Here is a 26759-nt window from a genome sequence, read left to right on the forward strand (position 1 = left end):
GGTGGTATCATTATTTCCCTCCCTGATGTGTGATGCTACCTCTCTCACATATCCAATTTCCATATATGTGGTTACTATTTCTGGACTCCCTATTCAACTTTCCTGGTCTATTTGTTCCTAAAAATATCACAATCTCAACTGCCCTAGTTTTAGAAGTTTTGAGATATATATGCACCTTGTTCTTGAAAATTATCTTGACTATTCTTAGCCCTTTATTCCTCCATCAACATTTCAGAGCTTACCAACTGCACTGGAAAAAGCCTATTGGAATTCTTAGTGAAATTGCATGTATTAGGGTTAATATAAGGAGAAATGACATCCTTATTAGATTGTCTTCCCAGCTCTGAACATGAGATTTCTCTCTATTCAGATCTTATTTTATCATTTTAATAGCATTTTATAATTTTCTTCATGAAGGAATTATACCTATATTAGATTTATTCCTTTTGGTTTGTTGCTATGAGAAATGACATCATTATGAAAATTAAAAATGTATTGCTGTGTTGCTATTATATAAGAATACATTTGATTTTAGTATATTAAACTTCTACCCATCCCCAGCAGCTTTGTTGGAATTTCTTACTTCTAATAGTATCTGCAGAATCCCTTGGCTTTTCTTTTGTTTTGCTCTTGTCACTCAGGCTAGAGTGCAGTGGCATGATCTCAGCTTACTGCAACCTCCACCTCCCAGGTTCAAGCGATTCTCCTTCCTCAGCCCCCCGAGTAGCTGGGATTACAGGCACCCGCCACCATGCCCAGGTAATTTTTGTATTTTTAGTAGAGAGGGGATTTCGCCATGTTGGCCAGGCTGGTCTCGAATTCCTGACCTCAGGTGATCTGCCCACCTTGACCTCCCAAAGTTCTGGGATTACAGGTGTGAGCCACCATGCCCGGCTTCCCTTAGCTTTTCTATGTAGAGCTATGGAAAGCTCTATATTGACTATAATATCTATAAAGCTCTATGTAAACTATAATATCCACAAGCAATGATGGTTACTTTTTTCCTCCCCAATCCATATACAGTACCTTTCTTTCTTTTGCTTGCCCTACTATACTGGGTAGGACATCACGTATAATAATAAGGAGAAGTGGTAACAGCAGACGTCCTTATCTTCATTTTAGATTTTTATGGGCTGAGTCTGCCTAATTTACCAGTTACAATTAATATTTTAGGTTAAATAACCTTTATCAGCAATTCCCAGCCTGGTTGCTAAAAGTTTTTATCTTGTCTTGAATTTTACCAAATGCTTTTTGTATTGAGAGATACTATAGGTTTCTTCTCAATTTTTTTTTTTTTTTTTTGAGATGGAGTTTCACTCTTGTCACCCAGGCTGGAGTGCAGTGGTGCACTCTCAGCTGACTGCAACCTCCGCCTCCCGGGTTCAAGTGATTCTCCTGCCTCAGCCTCCCAAGTAGCTGGGATTACAGGTGCCTGCCACCATGCCCACCTAATTTTTACATTTTTAGTAGAGACGGGGTTTCGCCATGTTGGCCAGGCTGGTCTCGAACTCCTGACCTTTTATGAACATGGTAAATTACATAATAAACATTCTGATTATATCATCCTAGATTCCAAAAATAAACACATGTGGTGAGCATGTTCATTTATTTATTTATTTTTATATAAACACAATGAGATTTAGTTTGCAAATATCTTATTAAAGACTTTTTGTATCTATATTCATGAGTGATACTGACCTATAAATTCTCTGTTGCCTTTGATTTAGGTATCACAGTAGTAGTAGTCCCAAAATGATATAGGAAGCTTTCCTTCTTTTTCTGTAGAATGGAGTGCATGAGATTGGGATTATCTGATCCTTGAACATTCATAAAAGCACTCATAAAGCCACTGCTGGCCTAGATCAGAGTTTCTCAACCATGGGCACCACTGACATTTTGAGCCAGATAATTCTTTGCTGTGAGGGGCTGTCCTGTGTACTCTACGATGTTTAACAGCATTCTTGCCCTCCACCCAGTAGATACCAGTAGCACCTCCATTCCCAACTGTGACAAACAGAAGTGTCTCTTGACATTGCTGGATGTCTCCAGGGAAGGGAGGGGGTGCAAAATCACCTCTGATCATGAACTACCGTCTTGGATTAACATCTTTAATGGTCATAAACCATTCATGGCAAGTTATTCTAGTAAACTATGCACTTCATCCAAGTCTTCAAATTTATGGGCATACAATTGTAAATAATGGTCTCATTTCCTAAATTTTCTCGTATTACTAATTACACTCCTCATTTCACTTCTAATTACCTTTCACTCATTTCTTTTCTTTTTCATTCAATCTTACCAGAGTTAAGCCCATTTTATTAGTCTTAAAATAAACAGCTTTTAGTTTTGTTGATTTCTCATATCTTTTTCTCTTTCATTTATTTGTATTCTTCAAAGTTTTGTTTCCTTTCTTCTATTTATCTTGCATTTACAGTTTTTTTCTGTTTCTTATCTTCTTGTTTTGGACAGTTTTGTTTATCAACTTTCAATTTCTCATTGTAAGCTCTAAATATTGTTTAATATTTAATATAAATTTTATCCTTGAACTATTCAGAAATGTGTTGCTTAATTTCCCAACATGTATTATGATATGTACAGGTATTTTAGCTATATTTGATTTCAAATTATTATTGCACTGTGGTCAGAGAACATTGTAAAATGCACATCCTTAGGAATGTGATGAGAATTCGCTTGCATATGATGGAAGCAGTCACCTTTTACAAATATTCCATAATGTGCAAACATCCTTATTGGATGCATGGCTCCACATTGAGCCACTGGATCAATATTCTTTAAACTAAAGGGTAACAACTCACTAGTAAGGCATAAAATGAATTTGGTAGGATGTGACCAGCACTTTTTTTAAATGAAAAAGGATAGAAATTATCAAAGTGAAATTTTTTTCACATTTTAACAACTCTGGAATCAAGTATTAATAGCTCACAGAATGACTAGCATAGCGCACAGTTCAATAGCAGCAATTATTTTATTTTCTAGTACAAAAAATCACGTAGCGTATTATAATCAAAAGTGTTGTAGAGTGGCCAGGCATGGTGGCTCATGCCTGTAATCCCAGTACTTTGGGAGGCCAAGGCGGGCAGATCACTTGAGATCAGGAGTTCGAGACCAGGCTGGCCAACATGGTGAAACACTGTCTCTACTAAAAATACAAAAAATTAGCCAGGCGTGTGGTACACGTCTGTAGTGCCAGCGATTTGGGAGGCTGAGGCAGGAGAATCGCTTGAACCCAAGAGGCAGAGGTTGCAGTGAGCCAAGACTGTGCCACTGCACTCCAGCCTGGGCAACAAAGCAAGGCTCAATCTCAAAAAAAAAAAAAATGTTGTAGATATGATGACATAGAGTATATAACCACATAAGTTTACATATTCTGATATATTCTACATCACATATGCATTCCCTGTTATGGATGGCAGTCAAAAGTGTTTGAAAAACACTGAATTCCACAAGTCAAATCTTCAATATTTTCATGAATTTTTTTTCTTTTTATCTATCAACTAGTAAAAGAGGTGCATTAAAGTCTACCACTGTAATTATGATATGTCTGTTTCTACCTATAATCCCATCAATTTTTGTTTGAGTGCTCTGGGGTTTTGTTGTTTGGTATATGCAAATTCACAAATGTTTTATCTTCTGGGTGGTTGGAACTTTTGTTTATATGGTAACACCCTTTATGCCTAATAATGCTTTTTGTTTTCAAATCTATTTTCACTAATTAAATAGCTACATCAACTTTATCTTGTTATTATTTGCCAGATCATCTTCTTCTATCCCTACATTTAAGGAATTCTGTGGTCTTACGTTTTAAATTTGTCTCCTATTAACAGCATACAGCTTGATTTTTTTTTAATGCAATCTATCTCTGACTTTTACCTGATAGCTTTAATTCATTTACACTTTTGATAATTTCTGAAACATCTGGATTTGTTTCTACATTTTATTTTGCACTTTCTATGCTATTTGTATTATGTATTTCACTTCTGCTGTCTACTGATTAAGGGAAGTTTCCTAATTCTTTTTCTCCATCTAATGATTTGAAAGGTATGTACCCCATCCCTCCCATCAGCTCCAAAACAGTTTCAGATGCCTCTAAAAACACTGACTATTTTCTATTTCCTCTCTTTTCTGCTTTTGGAATTCTTACTTGTTTGTATTGGAGCTTATCCTATCCTCCATGTTTTTTAGTAAACGTGAACTTGAGAATCCCTGTTCCATATTCTGGATAAGCTCCTCTGATGTAGAGTTCGATTCTCTAGTTATTCCTCATTGGTTTCTGATTCACATACTATATTTTTCATTACAAATTGTTCTTCTGACACTTCCAGGGAAATATCGCAGGATGGTTCCTCATGTACTTTTGCTTCCTCTAAAAACCCCACTAAACTAAGAACAGAGGGGTGTTTTTAAAAAGATGAATCCAGCCAGGCACGGTGGCTCATGCCTGTAATTCCAGCACTTTAGGAGGCTAAGGCGGGCGGATGACCTGAGGTCATGAGTTCGAGACTAGCCTGGCCAATATGGTGAAACCCCATCTCTACTAAAAATACAAAAATCAGCTGGGCGTGGTGTCAGGTGACTGTAATCTCAGCTACTTGGGAGGCTGAGGCAGGAGAATTGTTTGAACCCAGGAGGCAGAGGTTGCAGTGAGCTGAGAGACCGTGACACTGCACTCCAGCCTGGGTGACAAGAACAAAACTCTGTCTCGAAAATACATAAATAAATAAATAAATAAATAAATAAATAAATAAATAAAGTAAAAAATAAAAAGACAAACCCATTAGTTTAAAAAAAAATGGAAGAGACCCCTCCAGAAAACTAGATGAATGCAGATGCATGGGGCATAGAGACGGTCCACATGGTCTAACCAGCAGTTGGAAGCACAGATCTGGAGCTCAGACGATGTACAAAGACACTAAACATGTTGTTTTGGTACTCCAAAGTAAATTCAAAACAAATTAAAAAGTTAAATATAAAAAAGTAAAACCATAAAAATTAGAAAGAAATCAGAGTGAATTTAAAAAAAAAGAAAATGGAAAAGGCAACAAAAACAATTTTTAGAAGCTAGAAAGCATATGGGCAAGTGGTAATTGATTTAACAGACTCCAGAAAGCAAACTCCTAACACAGCAGTGTGAAAGCAAAAAGGCAACCCAATTTACACCTCAGGACACCCAATAAAACAGAAATTGGTAGCACAGTATAATAAAGAGAAGACTGGCAATAGGGAGGTTTGTTCAAAGCCTGTGTAAAAAAGAGTTCTCCAGAATCCCTCCCCAGCTCTGCCCAGAAGGGCAATACCCACTCATCCCCAACTCTCCTATTGGATTATTGGAGGATTTTTCTCTGGAGAAGGTGCAACAATCTCTTCTTTGAGGCATACCAAACTCAGCCAAAGATGGGGAAACCAAACTCAAAGTGGCTAAGAGTTTCAGGCCAGGCGCAGTGGCTCATGCCTGTAATCCCTGCACTTTGGGAGGCTGAGGTGGGCGGATTACTTGAGGTCAGGAGTTCAGGAGTTCGAGACCAGTCTGGCCAACACGGTAAAACCCCATCTCTACTAAAAATATAAAAATTAGCCAAGCGTGGTGGCACATGCCTGTAATCCCAGCTCCTTGGGAGGCTGAGGCAGGAGAATCACTTGAACCCGGGAGGCGGAGGTTGCAGACAGCTGAGATCACGCCACTGCACTCCAGGCTGGGAGACAAGACCAAAACTGTCTCAAAAAAAAAAAAAAAAAAAAAGAATTTCAAACAGAAGGCTGAAATCTCCATCCTCTTCCCCAACTCAGCTCCCAAAATTCAAGCAGTCAGGAGTTCACCTTCAAAGCAGAGGCTCAGAGTAACCATCTCAGGGAAGCCTGGGTAGCCCAAAAAGAAGGATCTGAAAGTTTAAAACTGGAATCCACCAACAAAACAGTCCAACATGTCACCCTACAGTGAACACTGCCGACATGCTCGGAGCTCAGAACAGCCTTTTAATGACCTATTTTTAACAAGAACAGACTATCTAGGACCACACTCATAGGATTCCTCCCCTAACATGAATGATGAGTCCAAAGCAACAGGGGAAAGAAGCACCTGGAGGAAGACAATGCAAGAAATGGAAAAGTATTTTTTAACCATCACAAATATTTTCAGAAAGATAACCGCTATTAAAAAGATCCAACCAGGGGAGCAGTGGCTCACACCTGTCATCCCAACACTTTTGGGAGGCTAAGGTGGGAAGACTGCTTGAGCCCAGGACTTCAAGACCAGCCTGGGCAACAAGGTGAAACCGTGTCTCTACAAAAAATTCCAAAATTAGCCGGGCATGGTGGCACGCCCCTGTAGTCCCAGCTACTTGGGAGGCTGAAGTGGGAGGATTACCTAAGCCTGGAAGGTCAAGGCTGCAGTGAGCTGTGATTGTGCCACTGCACTCCAGCCTGGGTGGCAGAGAGAGATCCTGTCTAAAAATAAAAAATAAATTAATTAATTAAAAATAAAAAAAATTTTCAAAAAAGATCCACAAAACAAGAGCTGGAAAATTTTTTAAAGAAATACACTCAGACAATTTTTTTAACTTAATAATGGAAATGAAAAAGCTCAATAGAAAGGTAGGAATATAAAGGTGATTAAATTTCCCAGGAAGTAGAACAAAAAGACAAAGAAATAGGAAGTAGGGTGTGTATGGATAAAACAGCCCCCACCACAGCAGGTCCCATGCAAAGGTGTAAGTTTCAGAAGATCTTAGGACTTTCATAGCCACACTACAAATGACAATAAAATGAAGCAAAGTGTACAGAACTCTAAGGGAACATTATTTGTTACTGAGAATTTTCTATCCAGCTGTCAATCCAGTGTCAGGATATACTGAAGACATTTCAGGCTTTACATGGTTTGAAAGCTACACCTCCCATGTGACCTTACCTAGGGAGCTAGGAGTAGATGTGTTCCCCCTAAAAGGGAGTAAGCCAGAGAAGAGAAAAACATGGTATCCAGGAAACAGGGGGTCCAACAGAAGAGAAAAATAAAGGAAATCCCAAAAAAAGTGGGGAAGGAAGAGTCTGGGATGCAGCTGTGCACCAGGTGAAATGGGCAATCAGAACCGGTTACAGGAGGTCAGGTGCTCCATGAGAGGTTTCTTCAGGAAGAAACCAATAGAATTACCTCTGCATCTGAAAATATCACAGAGAAGCTGAGGTTAGAAAAGAAATGCTGAATGAAAGTTAATAAGAAATAAATTCATAGAAAAGTAAACATAGGAATAAACAAAACAGATATGAAATCCAGAAAAAAAATTGTACAAGAAAGAAGTCATCATACTTCACCCTATGGCTCTAGGAGGAGGATTTACATAGTCATAATAATGAAAACCATAACTACAATACAAGGATGGAAATGCAGGAAGTCAGTCTGCTTGTGTGGGGCCAGGAGTATAAAAGAGTAAATTATTTCCTTCCATTTGGGGAAGTTAACAAATAATGCCTAAACTTGAAAAACAAATTAAGAGTTAGCATTGGAACCCTGTTATTTACACAAGTAAATACAGGAACTAACTACAAGAGGTGAAGAGCTTGCTGGGAGAGAATGAGGGGGAAATAAGAGAGAGGGATGGAGAATGGGGGCTGCTGTCATTCTTAACGTTCTTATAACTACATCCATGTTAGAAAGTAAAAAAAAAAAAAAAAGATCGAAAATATCTTTATTTGGTTATTCTCCAGCTGCTCTTTTCAGCATTTGTATATTTGATTCCTTTTTTATTTTCTACTCATATTAAACACACTTATTTTACGGATTTTGTCAGCTACTTCTCTCACCTAGAATTTCAGGTCTAATCACGCTATCTGTATGACACTCAATCATGGTGGGTCCCCTGCTCAGGAGCTTTCTAATATTGGATTGTGAGCTCATCTTTGGTGGGGCTGCCTCCATGGGACACCTACTGGGCCTTGGTCAAAGTTCTTCTGCACCTGCTTCTTTCAGGTGCTCCAGGGGTATTTCCAACCTAGGACCATGTCCATGTTACTATCTCAGCTTGAGGGCCCCCAAGCTAAGTGCAGGGTATACATTCCCAGAGCAGATGCCTTGGTGTGTCTCCTAAATTCTCCTCCTGGACCTGGGCACTCATTTCCCCAGCTGCCAGGAATGAGGGCTGCTGATGGCTGCATCCCTTTCCCAGAATCCCCCTCCACTGAAGGACGCTGCCTCCCCGTGGTTGTACATGTCCCTGCGGCAGCCCACACCAAAGACTGGTCTGGTCCCCATGCTTCACCTGGAAGCCATCTCAGCTTCCAGGTCCGTGTGGGACAAGCCTCTAAGGCAACAACACTGCAGTTCAACCTCCCCTCTGCCAGTCCTGGCTCCCTGCAGGTGTTCTTCCTGAGAGTCTCCCTTAGTCCCTCGCCCCACTGCCAATAAACCTCCTGGAGGGAAGCTGAGTCTCCGAGTCTATTCCCCAGGGTATCGACCTACGAAAATTCCAAACACAAATGTACATGAGGTCAGTCTCATGGTTCTGAATTCCAGTGAAGGCTCCCCCACGCTCTTCCCCTCCTCAGCCCACACAGAATTATTCTGACACAGATGAGCTCTTCATTATCTCTGGGCTGCTAGAGGTATTTATTCTGGTCCACCCTTTCATTGAAGGTAAAGTCCTTTTAAGGAATTTGTTACTAGTTTCCTCTATCTGCTTGGTGCTGGCCAAAGCATTTGTTACTGACTGAACTGTGTGTCCTCAAAATTCAAATGTTGAGGCCGGGTGTGGTGGCTCACACCTGTAATCCCAGTACCTTGGGAGGCTGAGTGGGGGCAGATCACCTGAGGTCAGGAGTTCGAGACCAGCCTGGCCAACATGGCGAAACCCCGGCTCTACTAAAAATACAAAAACTAGCCAGGCATGGTGGCATGTGCCTGTAATCCCAGCTACTCGGGAGGCTGAGGCAGGAGAATCACTTGAACCTGGGAGATGGAGGTTACAGTGAGCTGTGATCGCACCACTGCACTCCAGCCTGGGCGACAGAGCAAGACTCCATCTCAAAAAAAAAAAAAAATTCAAATGTTGATGCCCTAACCCCCAGTACCCCAAAAATGCAGTTGTATTTGGAGATGGGGTCTTTAAAGAGGTAATTAAGTTCAAGTGAGGTCATTAAGGTGGGCCCTAATCCATATGCCTGGTGTCCTCATAGTAAGAGGAAATGAGGACACAGACACACACAGAGGGACAACCACACAAAGACACAGGGAGAAGACGGCGATCTATGAGCCAAGGAGAGAGGCCTCAGAAGAAAACCAACCCTGCTGACATATTGATCTTGGACTTCCCACATTCGCCAATGGGAAGGAGGCATGGCCGTCAGGCATGGGAGAAGGTGGACAGGGAGCAAGAGTTTCCCCTGCTGGGGTAGGAGCAGGGGTTCCCTTCCTACCCCGGCTTCCTCTGTTCCTTCTGTGTCTCAATATTTCTGCATCTCAAACCACAGCACAAGGCACTGAGAAGTCACGTCTTGTCCAAGAAGAGCTACGGCAGAAATTCACCTGACAGAGGCAATTCCTAGAGGACCAAATTACAGCCCTGAGATATCCACAGACCAGAAAACCCCTTCTCACCCAGCTGCTTAACAAATATGACTGGAAAAAGACTGAGAGGCAAGAGGAAAAACCCTGACAAATGTCCCAAAGGGCCCCTGCCAGCAAGGACCCAGGCAAGAAGGGACGAGGGACCCTGAGCATGAGATGAGCCCACCTGGGGCTCGCCGCCCAGCTACCCTGTGTCACCGCCACGGCTGTGCGACAGGGACACCGGGTGCTAATGCACCCTGGCCACGCTTCCAATTAAACGCTGTGTGAAGAAGGCACTGAGAAGGGAGGCAGGGCAGGCAGGCAGCTGCTGAGACCCCTCCCCCACTCCTGGCTGGAAACAGCAGCCCACTGTGAGCGGAGACTCAGGAAGATGAGTCCTCCTAACAGCCTCAGGCAAGTCCCTGTCAATAGAAGCCTGGATGCTTCAATCGGGGGTTAGGGGGATGCTGGGCAGTGCAGCATGGAGGAGGGGTGAGAGAATGAGCTCCTGCATCCCCACCATTTACAAAGTTGAAGACGCCCTCCTTGTTTCCTTTGTCTGGGATCTCTACCTGCAAATGTACATCCTCAGCCTGCTGCAACCACAGTGCCCAAGCAGGGAGGCGGCAAAACTGACTCCGGTCCAACCAGCGTCTGAGTTTCCACTGTGTTAGCGGCTGACAACACCGCCTGAAGAAGACGGGTCCTGGTGTGGAGGAGTGCACATGAGTGCCGAAAGCAATAACACAATGATACAAGTATTGTGCATCGAGTTCCTGATCTATGGGTTCCCGTGGGGCTATGGGGGAAGGGAGGTGTTTCAATCAGCCTGGAAGGCTTCCCAGAAAAGGTGATCTTTCATCTTGATCTTGAGGGATAAGTAAAATTTCGCTAGAAAAAGAAGCATGGAGGTCAGAAACCAAAGGCATCTGAGACTAAGGGAAGAGCAGGTACGTGGGTTTGGGGCAAGAAACAGGACACAGCCTGTAGGGCCCACAAGGAGCCTCTGGGGGCTGCAGTACATGGGGATGGGAGGAGGTGAGGCCAGCCAGGATGAAGGGGACAAGATCATGAGGGACCTCGTGGTAACCAAAGGGGCCTGTCTGAAATATGCGTCCGTACTCCGTGTGCTGTCTGAGCTCACAGCACAGAGGGTGACAGGCACAGAATCCCTGATCACGTGGCCACAGGGTATGAAGACAGAATGCAAAGGCAGGGAGAGTTGTCGGAGCAAGGTTCCCAAACCGCTGGTCTGCCTGTTCCTCCCTCCTGGTCCCCACCTCTCAGAAGCAGCCTCCGGGTTTATCGTTCCCAAGCACACCCACAGGGAGCACTTTATCCCTCAGAACACCGCCAGGATGTGGCTTTCAAACTTCCTGCCCACATCCTCTGGCCCCTGCACCATTGCCTGCTTCAGTGGCGGCAGCCGGACGCTAGGCAGGAAAACATTCCTGCAGATTCTCCACAATAGTTCCACCTCATACAAGGAGGTGGACACAGGAGCTTGCGAAGAGGCCCGGGGCTGTGAAAAGTCCAGCAAGGATTAGATGCCACATCTGACATGAGGAGCGGCCAGAAGTGTAGGCAGGCACCACAGCTGGGCCTGGACATGCACAGAAAATGTCCTGAAGAACAATTAAGACACTGGTAACAAAGGCTGCCAGCGGAAGAGAGAGACTTTAGGACGGGACAGAGATTTGGACTGTGCACCTTTGGTCTCAGGAATTTTTATCTTGTGTACATTCTGCTTTTTTCAGTAAAATAAATACACGACCAGCAAACTACGCAAAGGATCATTCCACATGCAGAATGTCAGCTGCACGGTTAAGGCTTTGGGTCATGGAAGTATTTCAGGGGTAGGGGAAACAGGCAAGTTTAGGGACATGGGCAGAAGAGGCAAGGGCTTCACAGCCTTCATCCATGCAGGAGGGGCACAAAGGGAAGAACTGTGATGAAGGAAATTGGCGGTGTCATGGATAAAACTGCTCTGGGGGAATGGGCGCCTGCAGTTGGTGAGGCCTCTTTGGGGAGGGGAGTTGTCAATGAGGAGGCTGCCATGTGAGATCCGTGAGATGGGTTGCCCAAAGGACATGGGCTCCAGTCCTGAGGAGAAGAAGTTTGGGGTGTCTGAAAAAAGGGGGGCAAAAGTCAGGGCAGACCAGAACTTTTTTTTTTTTTTTTTTTGAGACATAGTCTCCCAGGCTGGAGTGCAATGGTGCGATCTCAGCTCACTGCAACTCTGCCTCCTGGTTCAGGCGATTCTCCTACTTCAGCCTCCCAAGTAGCTGGGATAACAGGCACGCACCACCACACTTGGCAAATTTTTGTATTTTTAGTAGAGACAGGATCTCACCACGTTGGCCAGGCTGGTCTCAAACTCCTGACTTCAAATGATCCACCTGCCTCGGCCTCCCAGAGTGCTGGGATTATAGGCATGAGCCACCATGCCTGGCCAAGGCCAGACCTTTAAGGCCACTGCAACTATTTCCATGTTACTCAGCACACCAGAAAGTATCTGAAGAGTCTTATGTCTTTTCTGTCTCCCAATGTGTCTGTCAGATGAGAGAACACCTAAGAAAGTTCCCAAACATTTTTTGCTGAGTTTACAGAAGAATCGTGCAATTTCATTTTATCCATCTCTCAACTCTTAGTCTCATAATTTAGAAAGAAAAAGAATAAAAACACATATCTTACCATTTTTAAGGGTTAAGAGTTTACATTAAAATCAAATAAATTATTTTAAAATCTCCACATCTAAAAAGAAAATCACTTCTTTCCAAGGTGTTTTTCTAGTTCTTAAATCTACAGCTGCACCTAATTTTTTATATATTTTTTAATTTTATTTATTTATTTATTTTTATTTTTATTTTTTGAGACAGAGTCTTGCTCTGTCACCCAGGCTGGAGTGCAGTGGCATGATCTTGGCTCACTGCAACCTCCGTCTCCTGGATTCGAGCAATTCTCCTGCCTCAGCCTCCCAAGTAGCAGAGACTACAGGCACGCGCCAACACACCTGGCTAATTTGTGTATATTTTTTAGTAGAGACAGGGTTTCACCATATTGGCCAGGCTGGTCTCAAACTCCTGACTTCATGATCCACCCACCCCAGCCTCCAAAGTGCTGGGATTACAAGCATGAGCCATCGCTCCCAGCCAGCTGCACCTAATTTTGAGTGAGCTTTTTCTGAGAAGATCTGGGTTTGGAGTACTTTTTTAACGGAGCTGTGTATCTTAGGAAAGGTTTTCCCCTGAGAATGTTTCAAATATGTCTTCATTTCCCACAGAACATGTATTGAGTGCCTAAAAATTAACTTGCACTCAAACCTGAAAAACAGAGTCAGAATGCATTTTCCTAAATCACTGTAACAAAGATATCAGTGATGTCAAAACCCTGAGTTTTGAAACAGAACTTCTGTTCTCTTTCTAGCTTCATTATTAAAACAGACTTTTTTTTCCACATTTGTTCATAACAGGATTGCCATTTTCCATGCTGCCTACCGATTATAAACAGAATGAATTTTAAAACCAAACTAGAGCTCTCTCTGAAATATTCAAGATGTATTACCATCTGGTTTTATATCAGCATTTGAACAGATCCAAAATCACTACATTACCAAGTATTATCAAAAATAGTTCACATTAAAAAATAGTTCACATCCCTTTCAAAGCATACTCAAGGCACAAACTTTGAAAGTCCACCTAATTTTTCAAACTATACCAGACATATGAATGCCAACCATAATTACATATGTGATCTATAACAAATAACTCAGTAATACTGACGTAAGCTAGTTTTATCATCAGGTCTTTTAGAAACTACTAACTTGAGAAGACATGGTATATTGATTACCTGGAAGCTTATAGGAGATGAAGGGTAACAATCTTTAACTTGTAAACCGCAAATAAAATTTTAAGGCTCCCCAGTCATCTGAATGGCCCTCTCCTCTCAGCCAAGGGCACTCCAAAGTTAACCTGAAAAGCTGTTTCCAGCCGTGATGGGAAAGGGGACTTGGAGGTGCCTCACTGTACCCTCCTCCCTTCTGGAATTCAGGAAAAGCTGACCAGCATTAGCATCAACACAGACATAAAGTCTGATAAGAAACATTTGCAGTCTGTTCTCTCTGAAGTCTGCTACCTGGAGGCTTCATCTGCATGATAAAACTTTGGTCTCTATAACCCCTTATCATCAGAATCCAGAGATTCATTTTTATTGATTCCAGGTGTTTAGATAATAACTTAAGTCTTTCAACCAATTGCCAATCAGAACATTTTTTAATCTACCTATAACCTGGAAGCCATCCACTTCCAGTTGTCCCAGCTTTCCAGATCAAATCAATATACATCTTACAAATATTCATTGATATATTATGTCTCCCTAAAGAGTATAAGAGCAAGCTGCACCCCAGCCACCTTAGGCACATGTTTTTAAGACCTCCTGAGACTGTGTCAAAAGCGCGTCCTTAACCTTGGCAAAATAAACTTTCTCAATTGATTGAGACCTGTCTCAGAGACTTTTGGGTTCACAACCTACAATGTACATGTCAGGTAAAAATACAAATCTTTCCAGTTGACTGAGGAAAAGAGGTGTGCCCCCCAACTTCTATCCACCCTCCTCATTTCCAAACTCAAAAGAGCCAACAGCATTTCTTCAGAAGATACTCAGCTAAAAATCAGTAACTATGATTAAATAAATAGAAAATGGCAGCTGAGGAGGTGAAGACAGGAACTCCAGCTGACCCCAGGAGATGCAACTCCAAGACAACTCCCTTAGCAAGAGAATGGCCATAGGATGACCCAACTGCCCCCCAAAATTGTAATTGTTTATAAAATAAATGAAATCTCAGCCTTGTATGTAAATCTTTAGGTAGAATTTATCATTTTCCAAGAAATATTGTCCTTCCACCTAACTAAAAAAAAAAAAAGTGTTAAAAAATCTCTCAGTTCATTTATTACAGTCTTGAGTACTGATTCCATGCAAGGATGGATGCTCTTCCTGCCCCAAATTTTTCACCATCCAACAGTAGCAAGAAGCCATGTCCATAAATACAGTCGCTTTCTCTTCATCATGATTAACACCCCCTGCTAACACAAACACACACAGGCACACACTCCAAAACTTCCCCGCCACACCAAAGCATCATATATAGTAATTCTATAGCAATCCTCTTAAAAATACGAATTGATGCAACTCGGCCATTTCACTGGTTTGGACAGAGATGCAGGAAGTCAGAGCATTGCGTTTCATCCATCTGTTAACTACCTCCTTCCTTGAAGAGTAGGACTGGGAGTTTTTTGACACTTTACAAAAACCTTTATTGCCATTTTGAAATGTTCCATTTTTCTTTAGACACTAATTTAAACATAACTTCGAAAGTCAGTTTATATTGCTTAATCTCTATTTATTTCCATTCAAAACTAGGAAAATAATTTCACAAAAGTCTGGCGCCATATAAATGATGCTTTGGAAGAGATTTTAAATACTGCATATTAGAAATACATTTAGGAAACTAAATAGTAAAATCAGCAACCCTAACAACACAATCACAGACCATATCAAGGGTTTAAAATATGAAACACATACACACACACACAAATACTAAAGCTACTCTATAGTTAAAGTGGAGGAAAATATAATTCACCTTCTACATTTTTTAGTTTGACTAAACCAGAACAAACTGAAAGTGATGTGAGAACAAATTGAATGTACTATAGATAACACAAATCATGATATTATATGCCAATACCAACATTTTATTGGCTAGAAGTTAGAGGATTTAAATTAAATACTTGCTGCAATGAAGGTGTAAAATCATTTTTAAAAGAAAAAGAAAGAGAAGCCCTTTTCACAAAGCAACATTCTAATTCTGTATGCACTATGCAACTGTCTTTCTTTATTAAAGGAAATGAACAACATTTTTAAGATAGCCCAACTGATCAGGTGTAACATGTGAAACCAAAATTTCCTCATAATTTTTGTCTATTATGAGACTTAAGTAACATCCAATGTAATATTACTCTCCTAGAAGAAAGACTTGCCCAATATTTCTTCTCATTCAGGTCCTCATTCAAACATCCACGTGACAAATCAAAACAGCTTTATCAGGCACATGGACACGTCTGAGTTACTATTATTCTGTTTGTAAATCACCTCCCTTCATTCCTTTCCTTTTTCTTTGCATATGTAAATTATGGTGTCTGATCCAAAGTCCTCCACCAGCCACCACAACCAAATTATCCCCTAGGGACATCAATCCAGCTTGTTATTCTTGTTACAGCATTAAAAAAGTGGGGGCAAGGGGAAGGAGTAGCTATTTTCAGGAATCAGAATTCCCCTTGATTAGATTTCTGGCTCACCGGTAAAAAACGTTTATACTCTGGAATGCATTGCCCTCCACTTCTAAATGTTTGGCTGTTTTAGAGCCAAGATGTGGTATAGTGTTTCCAATATAAATTGCTTCAAGTAATATATGCCTAGTTTTGCAGGGAGCATTTGGTCAAATTTTAATATTCCCTCTTGGGAGCCAACCCCAACTTCCAGCAGCAGATCTACCCTTGCAGAATAGAATTTTAAACAACACACACACATAGCTTGTCTTCTAGCAGACATGTGCTTTTTTTCTCCTAATCTGAGGGTTGTCACAGGAGACACCTTGTGTGATGCCTATCACTGAGAAAATAGATCTTTCTGTTAGGTAATAAATTCGTCACAAAATGCAGTCTTTCCCCCGCATCAAAAAAAAAAACAAAACACCACGGGTTTCTACCAAGGTTGAGCTGTAACTGACACTGCTTAGGCTTGTGAGTCATTGCACAATTCATAAGAATAAATAGCACACATACATTTCCATAGGCTGCAAAATGTTAGTCCAGAAAACACATGCCATCAGCCTTCCTAACCCCCAAACAGGATTATCTGGCAGAAACTGTTCCACTTCCTTAGTTTTTCTTAATTGTAATACATGTTTTTGTTTCCACGGCCACTGAAAACTTGACAGAAGACCCTCCCATTTTCCTTTCACTAAAGTGTGCATAGGATTTTCCTCCAAGCCTTACACAGATATGATCAGGGAAAAGGAGAGGGCTCGCTGCAATATTGCACCCATCTTCTTGCATTAGGCTGAAAATAAGAATCTTAAGGATATATATGTGTCACATGTCAGCCCAAGCTGAAGGCATCCACCAAGAGTATTTTCACTATTCAGCTAGCAGCCAGCATCTACTTCCGCAAGCCCGCATACTGATGAGAGCCAAGGCTCGCAGTCACTCTCCACCTCATCTTCTTACCACCCTTTCCTATGCAGAGAAGAAAGCCTTTTGACTAATTTATCAGTACCCTGACTATCCAACAATCTAAAAAAATTTACTCATCAATAATAGTCAACTAAAAGCAAAAGCACATCCCACAGGAATTAGAGAATAAAACGGGCAACAGCAGCACATATTGGCCGACGAGACCCTTGATACTCACTAAAGGCAGCCACCGCGAGGGCCAGGGTGACAATGATGGAGAACCAGGACACCCACAATGCCTTCTTCCTGTAGTTCTGGGCTTCGTGAGGTTTCAGGCGGGTGCTGCTTTCTAGTAAGCCTGACAAAAACAAGGAGAAAGGGAAGTTAGACATTTCCTTACTAAGAAACCCACAGCGAGAGCTACAATTTCTTACCCAAAGATTGCAAACTAACAGCCCGTGGGCCAAGACGTGTTTTGTTTGGCCCACACTGTGTTTTAACAATTAGATTTCACATGAAAATCAAGCTTTCTGGCACCCCTTGAAAAATCACAGGCTCTGACAATATGGGCCGTGTATTTCTGCAGGGTAACAGCAGCTGTCCTCTTTCGAAGAACTCCACAGACCCCACCACTCCTTGACATACCACACCAGGCCATTCCTTTGCCCCTGTGTTATGTTGCTTGGCCTCAGGTAGATGCTGTTCCTGCCCACAAGACCTTTCTGTTAGGAAAACAGCACAAACCACCCACATTCAGCTGGGCCTTCAGGCTCCTCAGCTGTGAGCATTGATTCACCAGCACAGTCCCAACTGGTGGACTGGGTTTTGCCCAAAGCAAGGAGTCAGTCTACAAATGACCTCACTGCTCCCCCAACAATCAGGAGAAGAACCATTTCTCTTTAACCACATCCAGCAAGAGCCTCCAGGCCCAAATTATATGCCACGTTTCCTTCCCTCCTTTTTCTGCTCTATAGTATACACATCCTTTTTAGCAAGCACATGTCAAAAAATTCTCAGAATATTAAAGTGGGGCAAACCTACTAAAACTAGAGGTAGCTTCCCAGGTAGGCCATGTATAAGACAAATTTTATTTTTATCTCCTATGCTTTCAACATGGAGAGTCCTTGACAACAACAGAAATTCATAACAACTCCCAGGCAATGCCCACAACTGCCTGGGGTCAAAGACTAAAATGTCTTCAGAATGTCTTGATTTATAGGTTTATCCTTCTCCTTTGACTGTAGATCATATACAGCATCTCTTAGTTGCACACAGTACCACATTTTCAGCCATGCATTTACATAAACAGGAGCTTATTACACCATCTCTGGTGAAACAACCCACAATACAACTTTCAGAGGTTGAGCAGCCTCATCAGAGTAGCTCCAAAGAATGAAGAAATTGGTAATGAAAGCTCAGGTACCAATTTGTAAAATATCACACAGTGTGAGACATATCACACCTACGCATCACATAAAAGACACCATCTCATTCATCCAACTGGGTACCACACTAAGCCTCCAGTTGCCAAAAACCACATCCTGATCAAAAGTTAAAGCCAGGACCCTGCTAAAACTTCTCAGTTCCATTTATAACCCAGAATTGAGCATCGCTGAACAAGTCCTGAGCAAAACAAGCCAGAATGTCAAGAAGGTTGCTGAGTGAGCCCAGCTCACAGCCTAGAGATTTTTAAATAATTGAAACCCACAGGCTTACACAGAATCAAAAGGGAGATGAAAATGCAAATGTTGAGCATAAACACCATCACCATCCTCTCTCTGTAAAAATCTCCCCAAACCTTCCTTTGTGAGTGGACTTGGAGGGAAAAAATAAATACCTTCTCTCTTGTCAAATTCTGCCCAGGTACAAGTAATTTAAATAAAAATATAGCATGTCCCTTTGTCTATATCTTCCTTAGCTGCCAAAAACCACACTATTCCAGTTTTCAACTATACAATCACCAGTTATAGCCCTATCCTAGAATGAGCAGATTCCACGCACCCTTAATAATTTATGTCCCTTTTCCCAAATGATATAAAAATATTCCTTCCATCATGGCCAATTGATTTTCAGGAGAAGTGAAGCTATAACATTTAAGTACTGGCTCAAATAAGCAGTTTGTTTGCTAGGTATTTTGACAGCAACAATCTCCAGATTGTCATCCACTGAGGTAAAAACAAGGTTCCTTTGAGAAGTAGATTTCATTTTCTAAGAGGAATGACAATGATGCCCATTTTCTCTTCAGCCGCATAACATTTATTTTTCCATCCAAAGTCAGCTAGTTTCAATAATATAACTGGTCCTGACCACACATGTGGACCAATCTACATGCTTCACCCACCAGTGAAACAGCACCCCCCTGGAGGAGTTTCAGATGACAGCCCAGGACAGCTGGACTGTCCCGCTAAGGTGGCACTTGGGACTTCTCAGCATTACGACCAGTACTTCTTCCCCAGATCTGGGCCTGTGTGTGCCTCCTCCGTGATATTTTTAAAATTAAAAAATAAAATGGAATAAGTACAATGGGAAGACTGTCCAAAAATGGAAGGACTTTCCCATTTCTATTCAACTTTTGCTTATTTTCTGCTGATTTTCCTTTCTAAAAATATAGCCGATCCTAAGAATGGAAAACTTTGCACTCCTCAAGGGGAAGTGTAGTATGATGATGTATAAAGACTCAGTTCCTAGTGAATGTTCCACACACAGGTACCTCCACACTCATGTTGGATGCAGGCACACTCACAAGTTACAAAGATGTAGTGAGAATTCCTAATGTTTTCAGGAAGCTGTGCTTTAAAGCTGGAAGAAAGCCAGGCTGAAGAGACAGGACAGCCTAGAGAAGCTACGACAGGCCTCGGATTTGCAGGCAGGGCTGGATCCTCCCTACCCATAGCTGGCCCCCATATTTGAATTTCTAAACTCACTCAAATTTCATAATTTGCAATTTTGGCCTGGGAATACTAAGCATAGTACTAATGAGAGACTGATCCTTTATTTATTTTGGAGAGGGGAAAGGTACAAATACATATGGAGAGGCTGAAGCCATCAGTTATTTCTACACTAGTATGCATTAGTTCCAATTCCTTTCTCCTAAGTTTGTCAAGCTTGAACTCTGTGAAGAAAGGGAAATTTTGTTAGATGGGGAAGTACTGGGAAATGCTGACACATATAATTACCTAAGGCTAAGCTGGGCCCTAAGGTTACGGACAGAATGATGGGAAAATACTTGTAGGGAGAAGAATAGGTATTCAAAGGGGATGGGAAGAATGATTAAGATAAACCTGGCCTAATTTTTGTGTTTAGTCCCCAAAGGTCTTAGGCCACAGAGCTCTTGCTCCCTGAGCTTTAAGTTCAACCAGATGGCACTGCAGTTACTGACATTCTGAGCTAGCTAGGTTTCTGAGAACCAGCCCACATCATTTCTAAGGCGCAAATGCCTCCAAAGTCTCAAAACACTAGATTTTAAAGCAAACCTTTGATGAGAGTTAACTGTGGTCTGGAACCACATCCTGATAGCTCCAAAGGGAGTTAGGACAAAAGAGAATGCCAAATACAGGTGCAGATCCGAGGTACCCCTCAACCCCTCTACAGACAGCCTATAGGTATTTAGGCCTGAAAGAAAGCAAGCCAGGCAGGATGCAGAGACACACGGCAGGCAAGTGCTGGGGCTTCCTCCTCCCCAATTCCTCTCACCAGCAGGAAAGAGGTAGCTGCACTCAACCCATTCCCAAAGGATATAAAAATCAATATTGGAAAAATGCAGCCCCATAAGAAAAAAAATAACAGAAACAACAAACACAAAATCTTACAGTAAACCTCCCCAGGTAACGTTCTCGTTTACTTAACAAAAATCACTTATTCACCACATACTGGTTGCCATCAGGAAGAGGTCAAACAAAAGAATGTCACATTGACGTTCAGCTCTCAATGCCACACAGCACCGGGTTCTTTGGCGAATAGGGTTCATCCTAACAGAGAGGCTGTGTGTGATATGCCACGCTCTCAAACAGTGACAGTTTACGAACAGTCAATGCTTTCATGCTATCATATAATGGAAAATGAAATTCCGTTGACCAGAGAAAAATAACCTTAAGAATGAATTCAGAAGGGCTTTTTACACTTGAACATGAACTACAAAATGATGCTAAATATGAACTCACCCTAGCACTGTCTTCCCTCCTATCATTTTGTGGGGTAGGGAGAAACAGGCCAGCTCTTAGAGATGACCTGCAATGCTACAAAAATAAGCTCAACCCAGGCTTCTGTCTTTCTTCAATATGGAATTTTTAAATCCTACGATATTAGCTGGAGAGGGGCAAAGGTAATGAACACATCCTATAATAAAAGTGAGAGGTTTTGTTCCATGCTCGTGATGTCCCCTGTCCTCACCTCTTAAATGGCATCTAGTTATGTGAGAACAGGGGGAGAAACTGCAACAGAGGTGCAGAATTCGTTGCCACTGGAGCAGCTCCAGTTCTCGCTGAGCATCTAGGCGGATTCTCTGGGAACTGCCGTTTCCATGTCATTTTATTTCACATGCTACAGTTTAGAATTTCTAAGGAGAAAGAGATCGTGCATCCGAACACTAAACCGGAATAAAAATGTACAGGAGATACTAAGAATAGGACAGAAACCTGCTAAGTCTAAAATATATAAACCCGCCATAGCCAACAAAATAAGGCTTCCAAGAAAAGGGGGTGGAGGTGCAAAAGAGCCGGCTTCCCCTAAAGGGCCTGGCTGCAAGAATCCCTCTTTGGCCACTAAACGGTTTTAGCAGAACCACAGATTCGTTCTGAGGGGGACAATTTGGATTCGGATTCAGCAAGAAGTAGAAAAGGTGCAGACGCGGCCAAGAACAGGGCTCCCTCTGCAAAGAATCCAAGCCCAAAGGAAACGCGGAAGGGATGGAGAAGAGAGACGCGGGAACGAGCAGGGAGTCTCTCCCGTCCTACACTGGCGACTCAAGGGGGCATCGGCAGTCGGTGGGAGGCAGAGTGTGGTCTCCCAGCAGAGGCAAGTGTGCTGACCTCCAGGCCAGTGTCAGTGGAGGGGAGCTCTGAAGGGTCTGCAGACGCGCCCTCCGGAAACATCAGGTTTCAGTGGCATCCATCCAGATGAGGTTGGTGGCCCAAATCCAAATGTCCCATTCCTCTGCCCCATCATGAGACGACGGGGCAGGGACCCACTGTGACCCGCGTCCGCGATTAGAATCGGGGACTGCCCGAGACCAGAGGCCGCCCGAGTCCCGGCTCGCTCCCCTCCTTGCGCCCTTCGCCGGGGCGGGCAGCCGGGCGGCCGCCGAGGGACATCTCGCGGCTACACCCGCAGAGGGAAGTTCTCCCAGGCAGCCGGCGGAGCCGCAGGGGACTACGGAAAGGAGGATGCAACGAGCCTGGGTCCCTCCGAGCTGAGTAGGGCCCGGAGTGGCCCAGAAGCGCTCGACTCCGAACGCAAAAAATGCCTCCCGCAAACTTTTCCCGTGGGCGCCGGAGGGCCTGGAGCTGGCGGAGAGGAGGGCGCGAGTCCAGGCGGGGTCGGCCTGAAGGCAGCTGGGGTCTGGGCTTCGAGGGAAGGAACCGCAGCCGAGGCGGTGCCGGCCGCAGAAGGTGGGGCTGCCGCTCTCGGCTAGCGGCGTTCTCGCCGGGAAGTCGGGGCTCCGCGCCCCCGCGCGCTCCGAGCCCCGCGCCTCGCCCAGCGCGGCCCGCGAGTGGGGAGAGGCGGGCCCCGAGCAGCCACCCCGGTCGCCGGCCGGGTCGGGCAGCTCGCGCTCACCTCGGTCCTCCAGCCCGTCGCTGAACTGGCCGCTCTCGCTGATCCGCACCTGCCGCTCCTCCTCCAGCTGGGGCGGCTCGCGCACCGGGGAGCTCAGCGGGGCCGGGCCGGGGGCGGCAGCCGGTGGCGCGTGGCCCCGGGGCGGCGGCGGGACGGTGGGCCCCTGGGAGCTGCGGCGCTGGATGCCCGCGGCCGGCTCCATGGCGCGGGGCTGCGGATCCCGGCGGCGGCGACGACAAGCGCGGCGGGGACTCGAGTCAGAAGTGCGAGGCGCCGCGGCTCTGGCGGGGGCAGGAGCGGACGGACTGGCCGCGTGGACAGGGAGGGAGGGCGGGCGGGCGCCGCGGAGTGGAGGTGCACGGGCGGGGGCGGGGACGAGCGGAGAGCCGCTCGGCTCCGCGGCCGGTGGCGGAGGCTGGGGCCGCGTTGTTGCCGCCGCGCTCCGCCCCTGGGGGCAGGTGCGGGCGGCAGGGACCCGCCCCAAGGCCCGGGCGCGGGAGCCGGCGCACCGAGGCGGACGAGAGGGAGGAACCAGCGTGAGGACCCACAGGCGGCCCTGGCAGAGCTTGGCTAGGGCGTAGCGGGGACCCGCCCCACCTGCGCCGCGGGATGGTGCCCAGAGGGGACCCCTCCCACTGGATTCCTCTGGGGTCCGCGAAGCCCGCGGCCGCGCGTGGGTAGCAGACAGCGCCCCTAATTTGGCATCTTTCTCTTCTGGAGCTGCACAGGCTTCAGAGGCTGTACAGGGTCTTCGCCTGGGCCTCCATTCTCACTGCTCATCCAGGGAAAAAGGGTTCATCTGTCCCCAAGCCCGTCGCTCTCCGTCCTTCTCGGAGCTTTAACTCCCCTCCCAGTTTCTCCCTGGAGCACCCATTTAGCCAGGGATGGGGTATCTTTAGGACAGCGGGCGCTATAGAAGATGCTTGAACTCCGAGGCTTCCCCATTTCGACTCTTCCTGGGCCTTTGTCCCATACAGTTCGCTCCCCTGCTCATCTAAGTCTTGTGTGATCTTCAGAAATCCATGGAAGCCTCCCTTCTACGAGAAGTCTCCCCTACTCTGACCCCTGCAGCTCTTAATTCATTTTGTGCGGTGGGGCTGATCTCACCAGTGAGAGTCCACCGCAGGGCACACGCCAGCTCTCTTGATGCCCAGAGAGGAGCAAAAGAGGACCTGCTGTTTAATAAATTCAGCTTGGATTTGTTGAGGCTCAGAAAAGTATACCCCAACGTATGGCACTTTGGTATGCTAAGTTTGAACTAAAAAACTAAACAGGCCTCTGAAGCCGCCTTAGAAACAAAGTCTGTCTCCCCCCCGACTTTCTCCCCACTAAGCAGTTCACAGAAACCAGAATTCCTCTTCCCTACGGTGGTCATACAACCTAGAAATAGTACTCCAACCTCCCTGGTCCTCTGCCTTTCTGTGTAGGAGCTGGCCATGAAGAAATACTCAGACCTACCTTGTCTGATAGTAGATCCTGAGACCCTCATTCCAGAAGAGGTCCTGCTCTATACATGCTGCACAGAGAGGCCAAGAAGAATCTGAACAGGCCTCGCTGGGTTCAACCCTCAGTCTATTACCATTAGATCACACCCTTTGTCCAATCACATTTCTATAAGGCTGTCCATTCTTCACTGAATCTAAGCATAAAAACAGGCAGTTTTCCCTGAGTCTTTGCATCTTCATTTCTGAAGGCTCCTGTATCACATAAAACTTTGATTCAATAAATTTGTTACGCTTTTCTCTTATTAGCCTATCTTTTGTTATAAGCATGTTTGCCGTGCCCCTTATGATGGGGAGGAAAGTATCACACCTTTTCTGCCCCTACCGTTTCAATGGTATCAACATCCAAGCTCTAGAGTCCGGCTTTCGTCTTTAGATTGATTCAGTCTCTGAATTTAATCCGGGTACTCCAAAATGTCAATTCCTCATTTAAAGGAGTCCTCCTCGTTTCTTGAAGAGTCACCCTTTTCCTTTTTCTTGTCTGCTTTGCTTGTGATTGAAATGAGAGTAGGATTTAAATGCCTTTGTGGTGCACTGGAAATATCACCAGAAATGGGGAGAGGGGTCTTACTTTATTTTGTTGCTGCTGTTATTATTGTTGTTGCTGGATTGGAATGAGAAGATCTGAGTTGACCTTGACCAACTTACTTTACCTTGTTGACCACTAATTTCTTCAACTACAAATTGAAAGAGTTGAACTACGTCATTTCAAAGATCCCTTCCTGCTGCAAAGAAAAAGAAAAATGCTATGATTACTTGGATAAAGACAATGAAAATCTCTACCCATTAATCCTGGTTCTATCCTCTAAGGTAGAACATCCTTCAGATATATTTGCAGAGTCATCTCCTCCACTTTTTTCCTCCAGTCTATCCCATTTAATCCCCCTGTCAATGGCTCTCAAAGTATCACCTGGGGAGTCTAAGAACAAAAATACCGAAGCTTCGACTGCTAGAGATTCTGATATCATATTTAACGTGATCGTTCTTGGCTGGGACCTTGGCATGGGTATTTTGTAAGGCACTTCCCCATTCTAAGAGTCATCTGGGGGCTTAAAAAAAATTGGCTGGGCGTGGTGGCTCACGCTTGTAATCCCAGCACTTTGGGAGGCCAAGGTGGGCAGATCACAAGGTCAGGAGATCGAGACCATCCTGGCTAACATGGTGAAACCCCGTCTCTACTAAAAATACAGAAAATTAGCCGGGCGTGGTGGCAGGTGCCTGTAGTCCCGGCTACTCAGGAGGCTGAGGCAGGAGAATGGCATGAACCCAGGAGGCGGAGCTTGCAGTGAGCTGAGATCATGCCACTGCACTCCAGCCTGGGCGACAGAGCGAGACTCCATCTCAAAAAAAAAAAATTATTCCTCCCTGGCTCTCTGAGATTCTGGTTCAATAGATCTGGGATCTGGCTGGGAACCTTCCTTTAAACCCCTCTTGCCCCCCGGCCTCCAACACACATTCTGATGTCAATTATTCTGCAACCACCCTTTATGATTACTCTCCACAATATGGACCATCTAGCTCTGTGCCCTTCACATACACACACACACGGTCTGCAGCAGATTCTCACCAAAGGAACTGGTATCATTATTCTTTCCTCTGGTTCCTCAGTTGGTTCTGTAAGTCCAGCACATCTCAAAGGTGAGCGTGGCAATGAACATCCGCAATTCTTCTTAAAATGCTGATTCTAATTTAGTTGGTCTGGGATAGAGGCTGTCAACCTAAAAGGAAGAGGCTGAGGCACAAAATATAATTGAAAGAATTTGCTTGAGCCCAAATGAGGACAGCTACCCAGGACGTTTCTAAGTTGCCTTGAGGAGTGCTCCATTAGCCTTTGTTATAAGCAGGTTTTTAAAGGCAAAGGGAACAAAGAGAGGGCCGATATAAAGTTGTGTGACAGGAATCCTCATTGGTTTGCAGAGATAACTTGGCTATAGATTGTTGAACTGTCGGGTAGGAGTTATGGTGTCCAGTGTATGGCCATTTTATGGCTATTTGGCATAAATTAGTCTAGAGCCCACATAGTCAGTGGCTTCTAGAGATCATTATTTCACTCAAATGGTTGTCACTTGCTGCTGTTTCATTCCAGTAAGTCTCTGGGGCTGATAATGTAAAGGGGCTTGCATTCCTCAGATTAAAAGTTTCTTTTTTTTGTTTGTTTTCCACCAGGCTGAGATGCTGTTTCTAACAAACCTCCCGATGCTGCTGATGCTGCATATCTGAAGACCACACTTTGAGAAGCAAGGATCTAGGAGTTGTTTGTTATTCATGGAATAAATATATTTCCCATCATGTTCCAGCTGCTCTGGTTAAACAAGCCACTATTGTCTTTTCCAGAAAGATTTCTCTGACTCCAGCTCCCCTTTGGGTGCTCCTTTTTCTAAACTGTAATTGATTAATAATTCACCATTTATTTCATGTGTGGAGCAGGGATAGTGGTGCTTGCCTGATGTGCATTCCTTACAAACACCTACCTGGGCATCGGGGACACAGTGTCCCCTCAAACAATCTCTGCTGATTAACTGGAAGATAACACTAGCTTACATTTTTGGAGGACATACCATGTGCCGGGTACCTAGCTAAGTGTTTTACATGCATTGTCTCCCTCATTCAGCTACTACTGTCCTCATTTCACAGATGAACAAACAAAGGCCGATCTGCCTTGTCGACCTCTGCCCACCACCATAATCCACAGGGGTACTGCCC

The 26759-nt window shown here is 44.3% G+C and overlaps 1 protein-coding gene and 1 long non-coding RNA gene across 2 annotated transcripts in view, besides 3 other annotated features; one reads left to right on the forward strand and one right to left on the reverse strand.

The window, feature by feature from the left end:
* TMEM163 (transmembrane protein 163) overlaps window positions 1-22821 on the reverse strand; it is a 263242-nt gene extending 240421 nt beyond the window's left edge. The window contains exons 1-2 of the mRNA NM_030923.5: window positions 22555-22821; window positions 17021-17140 (exon numbers count right to left, since the gene is read on the reverse strand). Of these exons, the coding sequence (NP_112185.1) occupies window positions 17021-17140; window positions 22555-22756 (322 nt within the window). The 5' untranslated portion in view covers window positions 22757-22821. The remainder of the gene's footprint in view (window positions 1-17020; window positions 17141-22554) is intronic.
* Window positions 18327-18386: a silencer, noted in NCBI's record as "silent region_11977". NCBI's record gives its function as "represses an Ori minimal core promoter by ATAC-STARR-seq in GM12878 lymphoblastoid cells {active_cell/tissue: GM12878}" and the evidence as "EXISTENCE:reporter gene assay evidence [ECO:0000049][PMID:35858748]".
* On the forward strand, window positions 21933-26345 carry LOC105373629 (uncharacterized). The gene is made up of 2 exons (XR_923354.4): window positions 21933-22388; window positions 26223-26345. It is a non-coding gene; the product is annotated as an uncharacterized LOC105373629 (long non-coding RNA).
* Window positions 22905-23144: a silencer, noted in NCBI's record as "silent region_11978". NCBI's record gives its function as "represses an Ori minimal core promoter by ATAC-STARR-seq in GM12878 lymphoblastoid cells {active_cell/tissue: GM12878}" and the evidence as "EXISTENCE:reporter gene assay evidence [ECO:0000049][PMID:35858748]".
* Window positions 24847-26046: an enhancer, noted in NCBI's record as "CDK7 strongly-dependent group 2 enhancer chr2:135478596-135479795 (GRCh37/hg19 assembly coordinates)". NCBI's record gives its function as "activates an origin of replication core promoter dependent on BRD2, BRD4, P300/CBP, MED14 and CDK7 cofactors, with strong dependence on CDK7, by STARR-seq in HCT116 cells {active_cell/tissue: HCT116}" and the evidence as "EXISTENCE:reporter gene assay evidence [ECO:0000049][PMID:35650434]".
* Window positions 26346-26759: the final 414 nt, after the last annotated feature.

Source organism: Homo sapiens, chromosome 2 (assembly GCF_000001405.40).
Source record: "Homo sapiens chromosome 2, GRCh38.p14 Primary Assembly".
NCBI classification, from domain to species: domain Eukaryota; kingdom Metazoa; phylum Chordata; class Mammalia; order Primates; family Hominidae; genus Homo; species Homo sapiens.